The sequence below is a fragment of the Homo sapiens genome, chromosome 1 (genome assembly GCF_000001405.40).
Source record: "Homo sapiens chromosome 1, GRCh38.p14 Primary Assembly".
NCBI classification, from domain to species: Eukaryota; Metazoa; Chordata; class Mammalia; order Primates; family Hominidae; genus Homo; species Homo sapiens.
Window position 1 is genome coordinate 63,916,330 of NC_000001.11, and position 17,183 is coordinate 63,933,512.

General features: G+C 42.1%; 1 protein-coding gene across 3 annotated transcripts in view, besides 1 other annotated feature; it reads left to right on the forward strand.

Moving 5' to 3' along the window:
• Window positions 1-17,183, forward strand: part of ROR1 (receptor tyrosine kinase like orphan receptor 1) — a 407,482-nt gene that overhangs the window by 142,313 nt on the left and 247,986 nt on the right. The gene's annotated exons all lie outside the window — the stretch shown is intronic.
• Window positions 1,733-1,802: a silencer, noted in NCBI's record as "silent region_954". NCBI's record gives its function as "represses an Ori minimal core promoter by ATAC-STARR-seq in GM12878 lymphoblastoid cells {active_cell/tissue: GM12878}" and the evidence as "EXISTENCE:reporter gene assay evidence [ECO:0000049][PMID:35858748]".

A 17,183-nucleotide genomic window follows, 5' to 3' on the forward strand; every position in this document is an offset into this window, starting at 1 on the left:
GGCACATACTTGTGGAGAAAGTTTGAAAGGAGTAGGGGTTAAGGGAGTGGTAGGGATTGAGGAAAAGCCTAATAACATGGTAATAGGAGATAACAGACTACAAAACCCCTGTGAAACCAGGAATAAAAGAGCCCCATGCTTCACAAATACAAGATTGAATGAGTTTCATGTTTAATGTAAATACACCTGCCATTTGTTCTCTGAAGCACTGGTTACAGGTTTTGAGATAAAATAGAGTTTTGAACATTGTGCCAGTGTAATTTGCCTTTGCCCAGGCATAGACTGTACACTTTGTTCCTGAACAGTCCTTAGAGACAACATAGTGCTCTGATCAGCTCAAAGGTCCCACCTCCTGATGTGAGACCTCTGCTTCCACCTGGCCTGCATCTGAGACTCCTTGGCTATTGACAGAGTAGGGGGAAGTGAGACAGTGGCCCAGGGTGCCAGTGATCTCATGGCTAAAGTGGATCATTTTACTCTCCTGCATTGAAGTTACTCACTGCATTAAGGGTAAAGAGCAAAACCCTCAATTTCTCCTATAAAGCCCTGGCCTACCTTTTGCTCAAGTCTCACCATTCTCTCTGCAGTTGCTCAGGCCTACTTTCAGTTCCTAGACTGTTACTGTGCAGGGTCCAGCCTCAGGGCCTTTGCTGTCCTCTGCGTGTGAGCCCTTCTGCTCCCTTCCCCTTCAGCTTTCAATTCTTCTTTCCTTAAGTCAACATTACATATTATTTCTTTACGGACACTGTCCCTGAACCCAACCTCACAGCAGAAGACATCAGGTGACCTCTTACATTGGTCACTGGGCACCATACTTTCCCTGTGGCTCCTGTCCCAGTTTATAATTATACATTTGTGTGATTACCTGATGAATGTCTCCTCTTCCACTGGACTGTGAATTCCATGAGGGTAATTCTGGCACTCAGTCTAAGCCTGACACCTGGCAGGTACTCAAAGGGTATTTGTTTAAGAAATTAATTATTAAATGTATCACAGATACATCAGAAGATGCAAATAAGCAAACAGGAAGAAAAAAAGCAATCACAGTTCTACAACCAAAGAAAAGCCACTTTCCATTTTTTGGCATATACTTTAAAATTTTTTTTCTATTCTATAAAATAATATGATTTTCCCTTAATAGTATGGTAAACAGGATTAAGCATCCACTAAATTTAATTTGCCATCATTTTATTCAACCAATCCCCTATTGCTAGACTCAAATCAGATTTGTATGATCTATTGTTTCATGGAAACCGATGCAAAATTATAAAAAATTAAATCATTTTTGCTTCTCAATCAGCATTTTACTTTATCCAAAAGGAGTATATGATGAGAAATCAAGAGTGACTGTCCAGGAAAATGGAGATGTGGCAGATGGAGCTGCAGACCACGTGGGGAGAGCCCTGGCCACAGGAAATGACTGTGGTTGGTAGAGGGGAAAGTATTGGACAGTTAAGGAGTTGCCACCTGCCCCTGGTGGAGGCAAATGTTGTTTTGTGGAAAGCACGTGGCATAATGACAGGGCCTCTGCAGGCTCAGTGATGTGGGTGAGCAAAATGGCTGTCTTGGGATTATCTAGGAGCTTCTGAAGGCAGTAGGGTGGTGGCTAATTTCTTAATGCTGCTCTCCCATCCTAGTGATGGGCAGAGAGGATGAGAAAGCCAGCTCTGGGGAGACAACTGTTGTTCCAAAGTGAGGAGTCACCACTACCTGCCATCTCGCAGACTCTTGTCTAGTGCCCCCTTGAGGCCATGCTTGTTGTTAGCCCTGACTCGGGTGCCCCGGCACCTGCCGTAAACCAAGCTAGACCCAGATTGCGTTTGGGTGCCTGGAACAGGAGAAGTTTTAGGAATTTATGTTAGAGATTCACCATGTTGTACTTTCTGCCAAAGCGTCCCTCCCTGAGTCAGAATAGTGGAAGGCTGACTATATTCCACCCAGCACGACGCACTGAATGCTTGGTATGAGCAGCACATCATACGACAGGAATCTCACAACAAAGCAATGAAGTAGTTACCACTATGATCTCCACCTTATAGATGAAGTACCTGAGACTTGGAAAGTGTCAAAACCAGAATTTGAACGCAGGTCTGTCTGAGCCCAGACCCTTTGCTTTTTAAACCACTCTTTATGAAGAATCTCAGTAGGTTCTTAAGAACGGGGCGTGGTACTCTCTAGAGCGTTTGTGACCCAACACTATGAATTGAAACAAGGCAAGCTCTGTGCTCCCATTTGGGGAAAGTTAATATTTCACATGCTCTCGAGAATTTAGGAGCTTGGTAAAAACTTACTATTAAACAGGGCTTTTCTTTAATTCCTTTTGTTTAAAAATTTTCTTGTGAAACACTCTATATACTGTGCCTCCCTCTGAGACGTCAGTGGTGCCAGAGACCGTTAGGGAGTTTGTGTAAATAGAGAGAGGGCCAAATGCTGCCCACACAAGTAGTGAGGCATGAGGCTGAGTGCGTGGAACAGTTCCATAGCTAGCCCTAGGCTCTGAAGAGTGTCCTGAGACCTCATCTGGGTCCCAAAATCGGTGGGCAGTGCTGTCTCCGCGAGACAATGACCAGCATGAGGAAATACCTTTAACCATTCATCTTTTTAAAAAGATAAGTTTGCTAAGCAAATAAAACCAGTTAGCCTTGAAAGTTCAGTATTAATGAATGTTAATGCATATCTTGAGATTTTCTAAAAAACTGACAAATCTTCCAAAAGACAGGAATATCTAGAGGGTAAATAACAGGACTAAAATGCTTTGAAACATCTTTGAAATGATGGTTCAATGCACAGGGTCAAAGGGTAGGACTGGTTCTCTTCAAGCATTTTAAAAAAATGCCTCATTTTTATTTAACATTGTTTTGGGAAGGAGTGCATTATATTGACACATTGAGAAAAAAATTCCTTTTTGTTTTTCTAAAACTAATAGGAGCTTAGGCATTATGATTAAGGACCAAAAAGAGCCAATGCCGATGAATGCCCTCTTTCTTCAGCTGTAAAATTTAATGGCCGCTACCGAGAGGTTTTTCTTTTAATCAGCAAAAAATTTATTTTGTCCTTGACATTTTATGCCAAAAATCAGCCCAGAGAATGTGTTTTATAGCCTGGGCTGAATTCCCCTAAAGGTAGAGTTTTCCTATGAGCAGTGTTCATTGAATTGGCTTTTTTTTTTTTTTTTTGCACTAGATAACTATATTAATTTATTAGATAATCTTTTTATTGTTTCAGCAAGATAGAGGAAACTTACACAGAGACAGCAGAGCATAATGGGTAAGCATCTGGGTTCTTTTGGAAGACGAGATATTGGTTTCCATTGGCCTTGCTACTTCCTGTCTTTCTGACCTTGAGTAAATTACTCTTCCAGAGCCTGTTTCTTTGTTCAATTGGGGATCATAATAGTGCCGCCGTCATCATGCTGTCATGATTAATGCACCTAAAGCATTTAGCACAGCTGTCAGCACTTATTGAGTATTGACTAATTATTAGCGATGCACAGTGATCTATAACTTAAAGCTTCGTCTCAGAATATGCCTTCTTATGATCTGATAGTAATAGGAATCAGCAGAAAATAAGGTGGTTCAACTATCCGGGAAAACTACCAAATATCCGCTTAGCAGAGGCAAAATAAATGTAGCTTAAATGCAGCTGAAAATGCTGAAAGCTGCTTTTGTTTCTCATGTTATAGAAATGCAGTTATTTTTATTAAAAGTGATGGGAAATCCATCTGTAATCTCCTGTCTTTCTTTTATCTGTTTGTAAAAATAGCTCAGTAAACCCATAAATGCCAAGACCCTGTTCAGTGTGAGAAACATTGTTGGGCAGGATGGGAAAGTTCAAAGAAATATCAGATGCAATCCCTGCTTTGGTGGAATATTTGGTGTAACTTGGAAAATTAAATGGAAAAAAAATTAAACAACAAAACAGCACCCAGCTGCCAAATAAGTGAGGAAGGAAAGACCTCAGGCTGAAGCACTGGTGATGGGAGGAGGGATTTATTTGAGCTGGTTTTTCAAAGGATGGGTAAGGAAAGAATAGCAGGAAGGCGTCTCATAGGTATGGTTTAATGGTAAGAGCAAAGTCAGTGTAGTGGCAAAGAACAAGGCAAGAGGGTGGAGTGGTTAGCAAGTGAAGGCTCATTAATGCTTAAGGCTACCTTTGAAACAGAAGTGTCTGTCTGACCGGATTCAGGAGGCCTGTCCATCACGCCATTCTCCACCACCATGATTCATTACTCCAGAGTCTCTTATCTTCAAATCAAAAGCAAGACGAGAGGCAGATACAGATATGAGGAAGTGCTTTGCTTTTCGCTACTCTGCCAAACATAGTTTACATACCAACACTGATAATCTGTCAGCCCACCTCTCCTGGACACTTAATCATTTCCCTGGAATCCACTGGAATAATTTTTTTATGCATTACAAAGTATGCTTCAGAGTGTCTATTTCTTAAGATAAGTTTGCATTCCTTTAACCAAGTGGCATTCCCACAAAGCCCCAAGGTGGCCCGTGTTACACATTCCTTCTTACAGCCAAAGTGGTCAGTTAGGAAGGCAGCTACCTTCATGGCCTGTTAGTAAGAATGTTGGACACTTGTTGGGCATTTACTCTGTGGGAGACACTGTTCTCAGTGCTTTACATGTCCAAATTCATTTAACTCTCCAGAAGAGGGAGCAGTAGGAGAGAAGGGTGATGAACAGACCCTACAAACGGACTAAATTATTAAATAATGAATCAGCAATTAGTTCTAAAAATGTTTATGTAGTGCTTACTGTGTGCCAGACACCATGATTAAAGGACAATCGAAGTAACTCGGTAATCACCTCTGAACTGCCAGTATGGGTGTTTTATCACCTTCCATGTTCTGTGTTGACGGTTTATTGAACACATTTTGAGTTCTTCAGGGCAGTGCTTATTAAATTCAGCGTGCGTTTGGATCGCCTGGGAATCATGGTAAAATGCAGATTCCGATTTGAAAGTGCTGTGGTGGAGCCTGCGAGTTTGCATTTCTAACAAGCTCATGGGGGTGGCGACGCTGCACATCCAGGTGACCTCTTGAAGTAGCAAGATCTTAGAGAACCAAGTAAATGGCAGAGGAAATACAAGCAGGATAAGACAGGAACATATTGTCACTTTCACACCAGAAGAGGCAGTAGGCCTGGATTTGGCCCCAGGCCCCAGTTTAACATGATCATTATGGTTGTTGTCGCTACCATGTGCACCAAAGGAATCTAAGAGCTTGGAACCTTAAGGCCCAATGGCACGGTTTACAATGCTAACACACCTTAAAGTTAAAGGAAGAATGTACGCTATCCTAGGAACATGACTGATAAGGTGCGGCAGAGAGAGTGGGGTGGGGCGGGTGGGGTGGGAGGCTAGAAGTCAGGAAACCTGTGTTCTCATCAGGGCTCATTTACAGACTTGCTATGTGACCTAGTTTAATCACTGAGCCTTTCAGTGTCCCGATATCCTCATCTACAAAGCAGACTGGTAAACATCTGCTCTGCCCACCCAGGACTGCAGAAGTGAGACAGGATGCACAAAAGCTCTTGGGAAAACCAAAGAAACACTGCAAATGTGCATTTTTATAATTAAAAAATATAGAGTCTGTCTTCAGCAGTAGGCAGGAAAGAGGGGGTATCTCAGGAGCTCCCACTTTGGTTTATGTCTCTCTGAGGGCTTGTTATGCTTCTCAGCCTATTCTGTATTCAGGAGATGCATAGAGCTTCTGGCTTCATGCTGTTTCAGAGCAGCCCACTTCAGCCTTTTCTTTACCAATAGAAACCCCTAGACTATCACAGCTTGTCCTTCTTGCACTGAACCCATTAAGAATAAAGAAAGTCTCTGGGCTGGGGAGTGGAAGTGAGGGACATAACATTTACTGAGTATTTTATGTGAGTTATTTTACTTAATCTTCACAACACTCCTAGGAGGAAGGTAGTCTGAATTATGAAATTGTTCCAATTTCATAGATGAGGCACCTAAAGCTCAGACAGGCTCACTTGCCTGGGGTTTGGTTTTGTTTCTCTTTGTAAAAGGTAAGTCTTTTCAATTTAGTAGGTCAAAACACGTGATTCTCTCCTTTTCATAAGACTATAAAGTTAGCAACCTCTGGTATCTGGTTAACAGTTCACTTTGTGCAGGTTATTCCAGAGGTAGATAGCATGAGTTTATGTCGAAGCCCAGGATTTTGTGCCAAACATCCGTCTCTTTGCAACAGAATTGGAGAATTGTTCCAGAATTCTTTGAATTCTTAATTTGCAGAATTTCATAAAGAGTTCTACAGCTCACTTTTCCTAGGAATAGAGGAGAGCGGCAACTGAAGACAGCAGGCTTTTTCTTTTTAGTATTGATGATGATGATGATGAGCTTTAACACAGCTTATCCAGGTAATCCTCATGTAGTGCTGTGATGTTGATGGTTTTGTTACCCATATTTTAGAGAAGAGGAAACTAGAGACTTAGAGGGTTAAGAGACTTATACACAGCCTAACTATTCCAAGTGTTTAGGACTAAGTGGACTTTAGTCTTGGTTTTTCCAGCTCCAACTCTGAGGGTTGTTTCCATATTCCCCTGTATTACATGGATTAACCAGTGTTAGTGACCATCCGGCTAAGAAATTAGCAGTGGCTCTCAGTGGAAAAGAGCTACTTGATTCTAATGATAGTAATAATGAAAACAACTGCCAGCTTCCTGTGCTGTTGGTAGGGCCTCCTGGGTTGGCCCTGTCACATCCCATCATGTCACGGGGCATGTGAGATCACGGGGCTGAAATAACCCTGGGCGACTGATGTAAAACAGATTGCGTGTGACACCTGCCCTTGGGCTTCCCAGCGTGGCACTTCAGCCCCTCTTGGCTCAGAAAGCATTTAATATACCCACAGAGTGCTGGGTTCCCCCCCAAAACTTTCTGCAAACTTCCTTGTAACTCTGGAACAGGATCCCAGGCCATGTGGAATCTTGAAAAGGTGATTGACACTGGAGACGCAAGGTCCTGTTGGTTTGGGCTGGTTACTCAATGTCTTTGAGTCTCAGTTTTTCACCTGCAAGTGGGAATAAGGATAGTACTCCGTTCTCTGAGTTGTGAGGGTTAATTGAGCCAGTGGTGCCAGATCACAGTAGGTACCCAGGCAAAGAGGATTGTTGTAGCTTACTTTCTTCTGGATTACATCATCCTTAATTTTTCTCTTTCCCTCTCCTCTCAGAAGTCATCACAAATTCTGACACTTCTAAATTATGCCTTAAGCCTATCTATATTGTGTCTAGCTACCACCTTAGTCTAAATCAGCTTCACCTCTAGCCTAGATTACTATACTAGCTTCTTACCTGGTCTTCTGCTTGTACTCCCACTTGACAGAGCATCTAGAGTGATTTTATTAAAATATAAACCAGATCATTCATTCGCTTTTGTAAAACTCTTCAGCGGTTTCCAATTGCACTTTGAATCAATCTGTACCCCTTACCCTGCAAACTGCCACCTGCTGTGGTCCCTGCCCACTTACCCACCTCCACTGGATGCCCCTCGATACCCAGCTCACTGTGCCTCGGTCATGACGGCCTTCTTTTTCTTCCTTGGATGCACCAAAACCAGGGGGCCTGAGGACCTTTGCATGTGCTGTTTGTCCCCTTTGCCTGGAATGCTATTCTCCAAGATCTTTGCATAGCTGGAAATTTTGTAGCTCTAAACACGGGGTTCTTCCATTTCATAAGACTATAAAGCTAGCAACCTCTGGTATCTGGTTAACAGTTCACTTTGTGCAGGTTATTCCAGATGCAGATAGCATGGGTTTAGGTTTTCATTTAGAGAACCACCTGACCTCTCCGTAGAAACTCACCACATTCTCTCCCCCAGTGACTTTCTAACACATTACAGTGTTTTAATTTTCTTCATGTACTCAGCACTACTTGAAGTTTTCTCATGTATTTGTTGACAGTTTATCTCCACCCACTAGAAGGTAACTCTGGCCAGGGTTACAGCACTAGTTCTAACCAGTGTCTGCTGTATAAGAGGCACTCAGCAAATATTGATTGATTGAATGAATACATTTTTTATTATATATTAAAAATAAGTAGAAATGAATTTTTAAAAATAAGAGGGAAGTCTTTCAATGTCTATATTCAAGCCGAGGTTTGGGATCCAGTGGCCATGGACAGGCCTGATGGGAAGGGGTGGGTGGAAGAATCACTCGTCTTCAGAGCATTGCGGTATGGTGAGAGACCATCTCATACAGCCTACTGCCTCCCGATACTTTCATTCACTCGTTCAGTTATTTGAAAAGAGCTCACTGTGTGCTGCTCTATGTGCTGAACTCTGGGCTCATAGCAACTAACCATGAAAGACCTGGCTCTGCCTTTACCGAGCTTAAAGTTTGACAGTGAAGACTGGCACTGAGTGCAAGAATTTTCCATTGAAACAAGTATTTAACAAGAGAGCAGCACAGGAGGGCCTGGGAGCATTTTGTAGGAGGCCCTCTTCTGGAGGATCAGGGAGTCATCTCTAAAGGAGTGACATCTAATCTAAATCTGGAGAATGCCTGACCCTGTCCACATTTTCTCATCAGCCCTTGAGAACGGTGGAAGGTTTTGCGGATTGGACCAGCAAAGGGGATGCTTTTTTTTTTTTTTTTTTTTTTTTAAGAAAAAACTTCCTCCACCCAGATGACACCTTTTTCTTTCTTTATTTTTTATTTTTTATTTTTTTATTATTATACTTTAAGTTTTAGGGTACATGTGCACATTGTGCAGGTTAGTTACATATGTATACATGTGCCATGCTGGTGCGCTGCACCCACTAACTCATCATCTAGCATTAGGTATATCTCCCAATGCTATCCCTCCCCCTTCCCCCCACCCCACAACAGTCCCCAGAGTGTGATATTCCCCTTCCTGTGTCCATGTGATCTCATTGTTCAATTCTCACCTATGAGTGAGAATATGCGGTGTCTGGTTTTTTGTTCTTGCGATAGTTTACTGAGAATGATGATTTCCAATTTCATCCATGTCCCTACAAAGGACATGAACTCATCATTTTTTATGGCTGCATAGTATTCCATGGTGTATATGTGCCACATTTTCTTAATCCAGTCTATCATTGTTGGACATTTGGGTTGGTTCCAAGTTTTTGCTATCGTGAATAATGCCGCAATAAACATACGTGTGCATGTGTCTTTATAGCAGCATGATTTATAGTCCTTTGGGTATATACCCAGTAATGGGATGGCTGGGCCAAATGGTATTTCCAGTTCTAGATCCCTGAGGAATCGCCACACTGACTTCCACAATGGTTGAACTAGTTTACAGTCCCACCAACAGTGTAAAAGTTTTCCTATTTCTCCACATCCTCTCCAGCACCTGTTGTTTCCTGACTTTTTAATGATTGCCATTCTAACTGGTGTGAGATGGTATCTCATTGTGGTTTTGATTTGCATTTCTCTGATGGCCAGTGATGATGAGCATTTTTTCATGTGTTTTTTGGCTGCATAAATGTCTTCTTTTGAGAAGTGTCTGTTCATGTCCATCGCCCACTTTTTGATGGGGTTGTTTGTTTTTTTCTTGTAAATTTGTTTGAGTTCATTGTAGATTCTGGATATTAGCCCTTTGTCAGATGAGTAGGTTGCGAAAATTTTCTCCCATTCTGTAGGTTGCCTGTTCACTCTGATGGCAGTTTCTTTTGCTGTGCAGAAGCTCTTTAGTTTAATTAGATCCCATTTGTCAATTTTGTCTTTTGTTGCCATTGCTTTTGGTGTTTTAGACATGAAGTCCTTGTCCATGCCTAAGTCCTGAATGGTAATGCCTAGGTTTTCTTCTAGGGTTTTTATGGTTTTAGGTCTAACGTTTAAGTCTTTAATCCATCTTGAATTGATTTTTGTATAAGGTGTAAGGAAGGGATCCAGTTTCAGCTTTCTACATATGGCTAGCCAGTTTTCCCAGCACCATTTATTAAATAGGGAATCCTTTCCCCATTGCTTGTTTTTCTCAGGTTTGTCAAAGATCAGATAGTTGTAGATATGTGGCGTTATTTCTGAGGGCTCTGTTCTGTTCCATTGATCTATATCTCTGTTTTGGTACCAGTACCATGCTGTTACTGTAGCCTTGTAGTATAGTTTGAAGTCAGGTAGTGTGATGCCTCCAGCTTTGTTCTTTCAGCTTAGGATTGACTTGGCGATGCGGGCTCTTTTTTGGTTCCATATGAACTTTAAAGTAGTTTTTTCCAATTCTGTGAAGAAAGGCATTGGTAGCTTGATGGGGATGGCATTGAATCTGTAAATTACCTTGGGCAGTATGGCCATTTTCATGATATTGATTCTTCCTACCCATGAGCATGGAATGTTCTTCCATTTGTTTGTATCCTCTTTTATTTCCTTGAGCAGTGGTTTGTAGTTCTCCTTGAAGAGGTCCTTCACATCCCTTGTAAGTTGGATTCCTAGGTATTTTATTCTCTTTGAAGCAATTGTGAATGGGAGTTCAGTCATGATTTGGCTCTCTGTTTGTCTGTTGTTGATGTATAAGAATGCTTGTGATTTTTGTACATTGATTTTGTATCCTGAGACTTTGCTGAAGTTGCTTATCAGCTTAAGGAGATTTTGGGCTGAGACAATGGGGTTTTCTAGATATACAATCATGTCGTCTGCAAACAGGGACAATTTGACTTCCTCTTTTCCTAATTGAATACCCTTTATTTCCTTCTCCTGCCTGATTGCCCTGGCCAGAACTTCCAACACTATGTTGAATAGGAGTGGTGAGAGAGGGCATCCCTGTCTTGTGCCAGTTTTCAAAGGGAATGCTTCCAGTTTTTGTCCATTCAGTATGATATTGGCTGTGGTTTTGTCATAGATAGCTCTTATTATTTTGAAATACGTCCCATCAATACCTAATTTATTGAGAGTTTTTAGCATGAAGGGTTGTTGAATTTTGTCAAAGGCTTTTTCTGCATCTATTGAGATAATCATGTGGTTTTTGTCTTTGGCTCTGTTTATATGCTGGATTACATTTATTGATTTGCGTATATTGAACCAGCCTTGCATCCCAGGGATGAAGCCCACTTGATCATGGTGGATAAGCTTTTTGATGTGCTGCTGGATTTGTTTTGCCAGTATTTTATTGAGGATTTTTGCATCAATGTTCATCAAGGATATTGGTCTAAAATTCTCTTTTTTTGTTGTGTCTCTGCCTGGCTTTGGTATCAGAATGATGCTGGCCTCATAAAATGAGTTAGAGAGGATTCCCTCTTTTTCTTAAAAAAAAAAAAAAAATAGAGTAGCCTCTCTGAACTAGCAGCAGTCCTGGGGGGATGTTGATATCCTCATTTTAGACGAGGAACCTGTGGCTCATGGAAATAAGGTGAATTGTTCATATTCACACCACTAGTAATTGGTGGGTTAGGCCCATGTATCCATGACTCAAAGCCCCATCCCTTTTCAGACAACTAGAGGTGTACCCACTCCATTGCAATCATGAGGAATTTAAGTTTCAGGACATTCCATCTTGCTTCTTTTGTTTCCTCAACGACTAGGCCTGTTCTGGATTTTTAGGAGTTAAAATTTGGTTGATGCTCTTTTCAATCCTAACAAAATATCTCACTATCCATAGTCCTTTGCGATCCACTGACAAGTGAGAAACCAAAATGTAAGGGGTTCCCTTTTTTTTTTTTTTTTTGCCAGCCAGCCTAATGATTTGGCATGCTGGCAACTGCGTGGTTTTGAACCGTGAGGCTGCTCTGAGTACCTGCATCCTTGTCCTCATGGAAGTCACCAAAACCGTTTGTCAAATGGCCAATTCCATCTTATACAGGGAGTCGGGGAAATGCTCATGAAATTGATCTTGAAGCACTTGGCAATCGCAAGCTCCATAAGAATCCTGGGTAGGAGTAATTAACTTATTTTGGAGGACGGATTTACTTAGGAAAGCTCCAACTGCAATGAGGGTGGGCCCTTTTCTTGTTGCTCCTGGCATGTGCTCTTCTCCAAGTAACATTTGCAGCAGTCTGGGTGGTTTGTCTGCTTAGAGCCATCCAGAAAAGTTGGTGGGAAAAGCCAAGAGGCCATTGGCACTCAGAGACTGGGGTTGGCACCAGTCACAGTGAGAAGCATTACTTTTATTAGCAACTTAGTCATTTTACAGCAGGCGTGGCAGAAGTGCCTCCTATGCAGACGCAAGACGCTAATATGGTTATTAGGGTAAGAGGAGCAGATATGCCCAGTATCCCACAAAATTCTCAAATTATAAACATAGCACACCTTTCACTAATGTGGTGATAAGACTTAGCTTATATAGGCTTGCATCCTGAAAAACCTGCTCTCAGTCTCTCCTAGGTCATGGCTGTGGTGTTTGAATCCTAATTCTGCCATTACTAGCTGTGGGACTTTGTCATCACAAGACTAGCTTCCCTGTTCTCATCTGTAAAATAAGGATGTTAATGGCATCTACCTACTAGAATTGTTTCAAGGAATAAATGGGTTAATACAAATAAAGCTCTTAGAACAGTGCCTGGCACTTAGTGCTCAGTGAGTCCTTGGGATAACCCTCTAGAGAGGCCAAGATCTGGGCTGTGCTGCGGACTGCTCTTTACCTTATCCTAACAATGAAAGGACACAGTGTGCCCTCTGTCAGGCCCTGTTACAGGCCGAAGCTCATAAAAGTCAGAGGGAGAGGTTTGGAAATTTAACCCAGCTGGGGCATCCCAGATGAAAAGGATTAGTATTTAAAGAGCCGTTACAGTTTATACTAGCAAACACACAAATAGGCAGATTGACACTTCCTGCCTCAGGGATATGGGGCTTCCACCCTTTCCAGACTCCACAATCCGCTTTGCTGTGTGTTTTCTCTTTCTTCCCTTTTCTTGTTTAATATAATGTTTGCTTCCTTTGCCCATCAGTAAGCACTGAATATTGGACATCTATCCTGTAGAGGACTGGGATTGCTGGTGTGATAAGTCATGATTCCTGACCTTGGGGAATTTTGCAATGTTACAAGCAAGCTGGGAAATAGACACGTATGTGTGAGCATGTTTACCCTGGCCAAATCCCATTTATTCTTTAAATCCCATCTCAAATATCACCTCCCCTAGGAAGCTTTCCCAGAGTTCTCCTAGCAGAGTTTCAGTTCTCTCTCTCTCTCTCTCGGTTGCTTTCATAAAACTTTGCCTTTTACCTTATTGGAGATGTGATTGTCTGCTTCTCTGACTCACATATTAGATTAGGAGCCCCTTGAGGGCAGAGACCATGGAAAAGCAGCCTAGAGGGATGTTATATAGTTCTTATTTATCTCCATAGCTTCTAGTACTTGGGGATGCAGTGTATGCTTATTGGTCAAAATGGTAAATAAATGTAAATGGTAAATAATAATAGCTAACACTGAGTACCTCTTGAAAAGCAGTTCTTATTCCTTCTCTGCTGTAATGATAACTAACATTTACTAAAGGCTTTCTTTTGTTCAGTATGCTTTTTCCTTCAGTAGCTCATGTGATCATCCTGCCTTAGGAGGAAGTATAATTAACAGATTATAAATGAAGAGACTAGAGGCACAAGGAGGTTTTGGGTAACTCATGCTAGAATTCAGATCCAGCAATCTGGCCCAGAACCTGGTCTCTTAACAACTAGATTAATCTGCCTCTCACTGTGAGTCTGTAGACAGAGTGTTAGGACTTTTTTTTATTATTATTATTATTTAAGTTCTGGGATACATGTGCAGAACGTGCAGGTTTGTTACATAAGTATACACATGCCATGGTTGTTTGCTGCACCCATGAACCCGTCATCTACATTAGATATTTCTCCTAATGCTATCCCTCCTCTAGCCCCCCACCCGCTGACAGGCCCCAGTGTGTGATGTTCCCTTCCCTGAGTCCATGTGTTTTCATTGTTTAATGGGTTCTCCTCTCTCTTACTTTAAAGGCAGGGATTCCGGCTTATTGGACTCTGCTGTGAACTGACTAAAGTCATTATCTGTTCAACAGTGGTCAGGTTCTTTCTGGTGGGTTTGGGAACCACATTTCCTCCCCAGCAACCCAAGTTACAATGAAAGCAAGTCATAGGCTAAATTATTCACAAGTACAAGCATTTATTAGCCAGCAAGCATAAAAATCATCGTAAATCTCTTTTCTTTAGGCTCCAAGTAATTCCTTCTTTCTGTCCTTGAGCCCCATGAACCATCCTTGCATAAAAAATTCAGGATAAGACAAGCATAATATTCTGATATCAGGGTTGGCCAGTCTTCCAGCTGCATCAGGTGGTAGACTTACTGGGTGGGACACACAAGACCTTACAGAAGTTTGGACCTAGGTACGACTCCTCTTGTTCATGCTAGAGTGGAGATGCCCATATGATGTTGTAAGCCAATCATATTTCCTGACCATCGCTCATTTTATGAATGAAAAATTATTTCTAATGCCCCATATTAACTGATCCTCATTAATGACTCCTCAAATGCAGATTTAGATAGCAATATGTGAAGTGGTTACAGTTTCCTCCTTTATATTCTTACCAACTTCTATTCACATGTGTGAATTCCTAATTAGTGTACTTGAAATGTTAATAACTATGGCAGGGATGTAGGTCCCTATTTAGGCTACACAAATGTTAACTATCCATCCTCAGAGTTAGATTAAATTTAACTTAGAAACACACATGTTCATCTCAATATCAGTACTCAAGAGCTTTAAAGTAAATCACAGAAGGCCGGATGCAGTGGCTCAGCTTACGCCTGTGATCCCAACACCTGGGGAGGCCAAGAAAGGCGGATCAGTTGAGGTCAGGAGTTTGAGACCAGTCTGGTCAGCATAGCAAAACCCCATCTCCACTAAAAAGACAAAAATTAGCTGGGCATGGTGGTGGGTGCCTGTAATCCCAGCTACTCTGGAGGCTGAGGCACGAGAATCACTTGAACCTGGGAGGCGGAGGTTGCAGTGAGCCGAGATGGCGCTACCATACTCCAACCTGGGTGACAGAGTGAGACTCTGTCTCAAAACATAAAGTAAAATAAAGTAAATCACAGACAATATAAGCAGAAGTGCTTAGAGGTTGTGTAGAACAGTGGAAAGAGGTGTACGTAGCTCTGAGGTCAGACAAAATGGGTTCGAATCCCAGCTTCTCTGTGGCAGTGGGCCAGTGACCACATCTCAGAACCTCGAGTACAGTAGTCTTCCTTTATCCAAGGTTTTGCTTTCCAGGGTTTCAGTTACCCTCAGTCAACTGTGGTCCAAAAATATTAAATGGAAGATTCCAGAAATAAACAACTTCTAGGTTTAAAATTACATGCTGTCCCAAGTAGTATGGTGAAATCTCACGCCTTCCTGCTTAGTTCTGCCTGGGACCTGCATCCTTCCTTTGTCCTGCGTATCTAAGCTGTCTACAATTTCTAGAGCCTATTAGTCACTTCATAGCCATCTGGGTTATCAGATAGATCCTCACAGTGTATACTCATCTTGGTATCACAGTGCTTGTGTTTGAGTAACTCTTATTTTATTTAATAATGGCCTCAAAGTGCAAGAGTAGTGATGCTGGCATATTACTATGTTCTGTTTTATTATTAGTTATTATTGTTAATCTCTTACTGTTCCTAATTTATAAATGATACTTTATCACAGGTATGTGTGTATAGGGGAAAATTGTATATATAGGGTTCTGTACTATACATGATTTCAGGCATCCACTGGGGTCTAGGAACGTACCCCCTTTGGATGAGGGGAAACTGCTATACTCATATTATGTACTCATAATAATGCCTACCTTACATGCTTGCAGTGAGGATTAAATTAGATAATATTTATAAAGTACCTAGCTCAGGGGCTGGCACTGAGCCATCGAATACATAAAGCCAGTATTATTAACCTCAGTTACTGGCCTGTAGCAAGATGCTCAATAGACCTGAGGAGAATGAGTGAAGGGGAGGTTGCCTGGCATGGGAGGAAGAGGTGGAAAAGGTGCAGGGGTGATAGATAGGATTCTTGGCTGGCCTATGGGGGCCCCAGCTGAGTGGGAATGGAGAGGAAGTGGGTTGATGGAGTCCCATTGTGTGCAGAAAGAGGGGACCTCTGCTTGGGTGGAAAATGAGGAAAAAAGGCAGCACTCAGGTCTCGGCAAGAATAGCCCGGCCTCCCTTCCTTCAGCCCATCTTCTGAACTAGAAAAAGGCTGTTGGGTGCTGTATGAGAAGTGAGGCCTACCAATGAGAGTCATCATCATGTAAATTCTCTACCATCCTGGCTTGGTCGGTAGCATTTCTACTGCCCCCAAAGCCAAGGAAGAATGATGCCCCTGATGGTTCTTCCCATTTAGAAGGAACTGCAGTTTACACACATTACCTTACCTGATTCTCAGATGTCCTCAAGTGATGTTATCATGATCTATCATTATTTTCCCTGCTTTATAGAAGGGAAAACAGTCCCAGAGGAGGTAGGTGACTCCTTTAGCCAGTAAGTGACAGAGGCAGGATTTGAACCTGCATCCAGCTGATCCTGTTGCTCTTGCTGTAGAGGAGAGGCAGTGTATGGGTATTCTCCCAGCTTGCTTGGTATTCATTCCACTGATTTTTACCTGGAGCTTGAAGACTGGAACTGGGTGGTAGAATGGCAGGTGTAGGGCCAGAGCTGGTAGAGTGGGTGGTGACAGTTCTGAGCCTTCTTTGCCCACCTGTCTGACAGCCCTTTATCTCTGTAATAATTGCCAAGAGTCCTGAAAGATGCCTCTTCCCTTCCCAGTTGCAAGGCCTGAGATTGAGCCCAGGGATCTTGCCAGCCTTAATTGACTTGTGTTGAAAATTATAAGAACTGACCCTCTTTTTAATTTTCCCTAAATTAAACACTGTGGAGGGATCAAATGGAAAATGACCAAGAGTCCTGAGAAAGGATTATCCATCTGGCATCTGATGGAACTTGAGAGACAGGGCAGCATAGTAGTGGTGCCTGCTGCATCTTATAGCTGTGGGACCTTGGCCAAGCTTCTGGACCTTTCACAGTGCGTTTCATTTCCTTATATGTAAAACAGGGTTAATAATTCTGGCCTCAGATGGTTGTGACAGTCATTGAGATTCTCCATGTTACTTGCATGGTACTAGGCAGGAGCTTAATCAGTGTCCCTTTACATCCCCAGAAGTGGGCTTAAATAGCCCAGTAGGAGTATGAAACCCTCAATCAAATGTCTGGCATATAATAGGTGCTCAATAAGTATTTGCTGAATGAATAAGCATGGTTGCTT